Source organism: Homo sapiens, chromosome 6 (assembly GCF_000001405.40).
Source record: "Homo sapiens chromosome 6, GRCh38.p14 Primary Assembly".
NCBI classification, from domain to species: domain Eukaryota; kingdom Metazoa; phylum Chordata; class Mammalia; order Primates; family Hominidae; genus Homo; species Homo sapiens.
In genome coordinates this window covers 6,124,086-6,130,272 of record NC_000006.12, presented here as the reverse complement: position 1 = coordinate 6,130,272, position 6,187 = coordinate 6,124,086, and the positions used below count along the sequence as shown (strand labels likewise).

At 39.6% G+C, this 6,187-nt stretch overlaps 1 annotated feature.

The window, feature by feature from the left end:
- Nucleotides 4,491-4,691: a silencer, noted in NCBI's record as "peak5639 fragment used in MPRA reporter construct". NCBI's record gives its function as "represses an SCP1 promoter by STARR-seq MPRAs in K562 erythroleukemia cells {active_cell/tissue: K562}" and the evidence as "EXISTENCE:reporter gene assay evidence [ECO:0000049][PMID:32103011]".

The window sequence follows — 6,187 nt, the reverse complement described above, 5'->3', positions numbered from 1 at the left end:
TACAATGAGGTATCATCTCACCCCAGTTAAAATAGCTTATTTCCACAAAACAGGCAATAACAAAAGCTAACAAGGATGTGGAGGAAAGGGAACCCTTGTACCACAGGCGGGAATGTAAATTAGTACAACCACTGTGGAGTACAGTTTAGAGGTTCCTCAGAAAAACTAAAAATAGAGCTACCATATGATCCAGCAATTCCACTCCTAGGTATATACCCCAAAGAAAGGAAATCAGTATATCAAAGAGATATCTGCACTCTCATGTTCATTGCAGCACTGCTTACAATCACCAAGATTCAGAAGCTACCTAAGTGTCCATCAACTGACAGATAAAGAAAATATAGAACATATACACAATGGAGTAAAAAGGAATGAGATTCAGTCACTTGTAACAACATATACGGAACTGGAGGTCATTATGTTAAGTGAAATAAACCAGGCACAGAAAGACAAACATCACATGTTCTTACTTATCTGTGGGTGCTAAAAGTTAAAACCATTAGAACTGATGGAGATAGAGAATAGAAGGATGGTTACCAGAGGTTGGGAAGGGTAGTCAGGGAGAAGGGGCAGGAGAAAGGATGGCTAATGAGTACAAAAAAAAAATAGAAAGAATGAATAAGACCTAGTTTGATAGCATAATAGGGCAACTATAGTAAAACAGAATTTAATTGTGCATTTTAAAATAGCTAAAAGAATATAGTTGGATTGTTTGAAACACAAAGAATAAATGCTTGAGGTGATGGATACTCTATTTATCCCAATAAGATTATTATGATTTGCATGCCTGTATCAAATATCTCATGTAACCCGCAAATATATACACCTACTATGTACCCACAAAAATTAAAAATAAAAAATTTTCAAAGAGACCTTAAAGACAATAGCCTCTCCCTCTCTCTCTCTGTCTCCCTCAACATGCAGTCATTTTTATCAAGACCTATTTTCATTGACTTTTATGATAATTTCGCTTTAATTCTATCACTTTCACATGTATTTCCTATATTTAGAGGGAAAGGAAAGACACAGAAAAGGTGAGTAAAAAGCTATATAAAGTTGAATAACAAAACTCTGCTTTTTGATGATTCATGATCTTTTGATGGTGTAAGCAGTTTACTTTATAAACCCACACTGACTATTCCGCTGCATGTTGGTTGTTGAAACACAGAATCACTCTAGTCTTAAAATGCCAATTTATTATCTGCTCTTTGGTTAATATTCATCTCAAGAAGATAGACTGCCATTAGATACCAAGGGTTACAAATTCAAAGTTATACTTCCTGATTTGAAAAATAAATTATTTTTCTTATTTAATCACCTAAGCCAGGTTTAATGAACCATTTTATAAGGCCATTTAGATAAGATTAGCTAATCCATATGATTTGTCTAACTTCTATGTTTTTCCATATCATCTATATAATGCTTTACTTGTAGTAAGTTCTCAAGTAAATGTAAGTTGAATTTAATTTCATTTTCACTTATTGGAGAGATTCATAATCCATGTTGGAAAGACTGCTTAAATGCTCCTTTACACCAAACTAAAAGCATACCTTTTTAGTTTTTACTATTTCTTTGCATTTCTCCCAAAATCTACGGACTTACTGAGAATGAAAACTGTTTAAGGTCTGAGTTTCAGGGTATCACAAAATCACAGGGCCCAAGACGTATAAGACAAGGGTCAAACGCACTCCAAGGCTCCAAAGATGTGTGCAGTAACAGAGACCCCACTTCAGCTGTTGCTCAGGAAGATGAGCCATGACACTAACAAGCTCATGCTCCAGGGCCACTCACTTGCACTGTGCCCTTCTAAAGCTCTGAAGGAGCCCTGGCATTGTTTTGACATGGTCATAGCTATTTTTTAATTCTGCAAAAGGAAAACAGTTTCACCATAATCAGTTAAATTATCAGTTTTCCCCCAGCCTACTTCTCTTTGTATTAGATGGCATTAGACTATACACAGGCATTTTGGGGATCCAGATAAGGGAAGGATATACTGGGGATAGATTCACTTTATATTTAGTTGAATATACTTATGTGGTTCATCACCTCTGTGGTGTATAGTGAGGTTACTGCTAGCTACCTCACCCTAAGGATGACTTCCAGGAATACTGCCATCTCTTATTTACAAACGTGTAGGGCCAAAGATCTACTATGGTACAGGTGAATGTGACCTATGGTGCCCAGCACTGGATGTATATAGAAGAAACAAGGTATAAAATGTAGAGAGCTTGAAGCTAGTCTGTGTAAGCTTGCAAACTAAGGATTCAGTTCTTGTCAATACCAAGTCAAAATGAAAGAACTCTACTGAATAATACGGCATATATAGTTTTAAACACATTATGTGACTGTTTTATGGGAATAACATAAAATAAAATTATGAAAAATCTTGCATTTAAGCACACAAGCAATTACATTAGCATGTGAGCTTGCATATGCATCCCAACGTATCACATCTTAGCAGCTTGATGCACCGAATCCAAATAAAGTCTGGTAGTTCCAGGTGAAATATTATGAAACTTCCTACTGATGCAGTGAAACAGGCTGAAAAAACAAATGTTCCAGTGACAAACTCCTATACATATTCATCAATAAGTCAAATGTATGATATAATAGTAATTTTATTATGCAATTATACAACTAAGTATAACATAGCAGTAATTTTAAAATGCATTTGAATTGCTCTTTCTTATGCCTTAATGTCAGATAAATTTTGAGTTTTATTCAAAAATTCTACATTTTACTACAATTCAAATGTGACTGAAAGTAAGAATCCTAGTAGGAGCCAAAATGTAAACTGAAAGAAAGGAAATGCAGAAGTTTCAAAATGTGAAAGTGTTCTTCAAGCATTTCTTTCTGCCTTGCTGTTTATCTTCTACTTCAAATTGTATTTTCTTCTGGAATGATTCAAGGAAAATATCATTAAGTGGTGCTAAGTGGGGTGGAGGATTGGGTTGAACAGAAACCTAGCATGGGCATTGAAGCCCAGGCAAGATGAACCAGGTACCCCATGTGAGGGATGGTCACAGTACAACATGGGCTGTCAGAACCTCAACAGCAGAGGAAGAGGTTCCTATGGGATGGTATGATGGAAGCAGCCCTGGAAAATAGTATCAGCACACAAGCCATATGAGGAGGGGCTTTTACAAGGGACTAGCATCAGCCCAACACAGATTGTTGGAGACAGAGCAAAGTGAAGAGGGTGTCCATATAATGGGAGGGTGGTGAAATCTGCAGCCTGGGCACAGGCCAATGGAGCCATGCTAGGTGGGGGAGGGGGGCATGATGTGGGTGTGAAAGTAGCAAGACAAGAAAGAAAGGCATCCCCATCACATGCTGGTGGTGGCCCAGGACTGGGTATTAGAGCCCAAGCTAGGAGAGGAAAGTGTCTTTGCAGTGGGGGAAGTGGGAGCCAGTACTGGTGACTGGTAAGTAAATATATTGAAGATAGTTACAAATAGGAAAAGAGAAAAAACAAGAATGATCTCTGTAGTACTGAACTGAAATTGGAAATATTGATGTGAACTCACAACTTTCTATATATAGATAGATATGAAAATAAATCTAAATGTATGTATTTATGTACGCACCTCTGTACCTAATTCCCCCACTAAGTCGGCTGTTACTGACACCCAATAGCTAAGAGCACACCTTAAATGCACTGTGGATTCTAAATGCATTTCCCAGAGAAAAATACCAAGACTCCTTGGAGAAAAGACTAATTCCAAGGCAGGGCAGGGAAAATACAAGATGAGCCTGGATTATTTTAAGGCAGAAAGTGATGAAGTGCTCAAAGAATAATAGGAACATGACGAAAGACCTGACACAGTTTCGGCATCTAATAATAATGATAGTAATAGATTGGAACTCATTGAGTAAGCTAGGAGTCCTTGGTACTATAAATATATATCTACATACATACATACATACATACATACATACACAAATAGATAGAAGTGTTTGCCTTATATCAAGTAATAAATATAGAAGAAAAATTGAATTAGAAAATAACAATTTAGCATTCATCACAGTAATAATTAACTTAGTCAAGAAACACCAATGGATGCTAAAACTAGTGTGTGAAAGTTTTATGACAACGGGGATATTTTAAACAGTCTTGAAAAATTTCCCCACAAAACATATATTAATTGCAAAAGAGAAAACAGTAACTTAACAGTGCAGAAACCTGGCAGATATCACCTTGATCAAATGATCAAAGTTAACATCACCGATAATAGGACAAATCCAAATCATGTGTCACCTAATCTAATGCAATGAGAAGAGAACAACAATGCTCCTGTGATATTCCTGCCACAGAAGCATAACCTGAACAGAATCATAAAGAAACATCAGGGAAACCTAAATTAAGAAACACTTTACAAAAGCGGGGGAAGATTCAAGATGGCTGACTAGATGCAGCTAGTACACTCCTCCACAGAGAGGAACCAAAATAGCAAGTAGATATTCACACTTAAAATAGATTGTCTAGGAGAGACACTGGGATTCAACACAGAAGTGAAGGGAAGCACCGACAGCTAGTAAGGAGAGGGAAGCAAGACCTCCTGCTTGGCTAGGGTTGGCAGGGAGCCAAGAGAAGCTCCCAGACATGGTATAGGATAAGAGGGAGACTTCCAGGGCTCCCCAGTGCTGCCATGGTCTTTTAAAATCTTAGCTACAGGAGAATCCTTCAATCCATGTGGGTTCGAGACTAACATAGGGAGTTTTCTAGAGATTGCACAGAGGCATTGCTCCAGAGAGGATACTCACACAGAGTCCCACAGGCATCCAAAACCTGAGTTGCTACAGCTTGGTGCCATTCTAGGAGCCAAGCTCCCAAAGGAATATGTCCTGCCCTGGGACCAATGCCATCATTGCTGCTGCTTCCACCAGGCCAAGAAGGGAGGGAGGAAGCCAGGCACTACCATGCACCCCTATGACAAATCCCACTGCTGCTGCTATGGGCCACTGTGGGATTGTATTTGTCCATTTTGAATCGCTATAAAGGAACACTTGACACTGGATAATTCATAAAGAAAAGAGGTTTATTTGGCTCACAGTTCTGCAGGCTATATAAGCATGGCACCAACATCTGCTTGGCTTCTGGTGAGGCCTCAAAGAGCTTTTACTCATGACAGAAGGTGAAAGGGAAGCAGGTGTGTCACATGGTGAGAGAGGATGCAAGAGATAGAGAGGAAGGGGTTTCAGACTATTTTTCACAACCAGATTTTGTGGTAACTGACGGAGTGAAAACTCACTCATTACTGCTTGGCTTCTGGTGAGGCCTCAAGGAGCTTTTACTGATGACAGAAGGTGAAGGGTGAGCAGGTGTGTCACATGGTGAGAGAGCATGCAAGAGATAGAGGATGAGGTTTCAGACATTTTTCACAACCAGATCTCATGGTAACTAATAGAGTGACAACTCACTCATTAGTGCTGGGACAGCACCAAGTCATTTATGAGGGATCCATCCCCATGAACCAAACATCTCTCACTAGGCCCCACCTCCAACATTGGGGATCACATTTCAACATGAGATTTGGAGGAGACAAATATCCAATCCATATTATTCTGCCTCTGTTCCCCCTCCAAATCTCATGTCCTCCACACATAACAATATGAAATTATCCCTTCCCAATAGTCCCCAAAAGTCATAACTTGTTCCATCATTAACAAAAATTCAAAGTCCAAAGTGACATCTGAGACTCAAGGCAAGTTTCTTACAGCTGTGAGCCATGAAATCAAATAGAAGTTATTTTCTTCCAAGATACAATGGTGGTACAGGCATTGGGTAAACATTCTCATTACAAAGAGGAGAAATTGGCCAAAAGAAAGGGGTTACAGGCTCCATGCAAGTTTGAAACCCAGCAGAACAGACATTAAACTGTAAAGCTCCAAAATAATCACCCTTGACTCCATGTTCTGCATCATGGGCACACTGGTATGTTGGGTGGGCTCCCAAAACCTTGGGAAGATCTGCCCCTGTAGCTTTGTTGGGTGCAGCCCCCATGGCTGCTCTCACAGGTTGGAGTCCAATGTCTTTGGCTTTTCCAGTCTCAAAGTGCAAGCTGCCAGTGCCTACACCACTCTGGTGTCTGAAGCACAGTGACCCCATTCCCACAGCTCCACTAGGCAGTGCCCTGGTGGAAACTCTGTGTTGGGGCTCCAGCCCTACAATTCCCCATCGGCACTG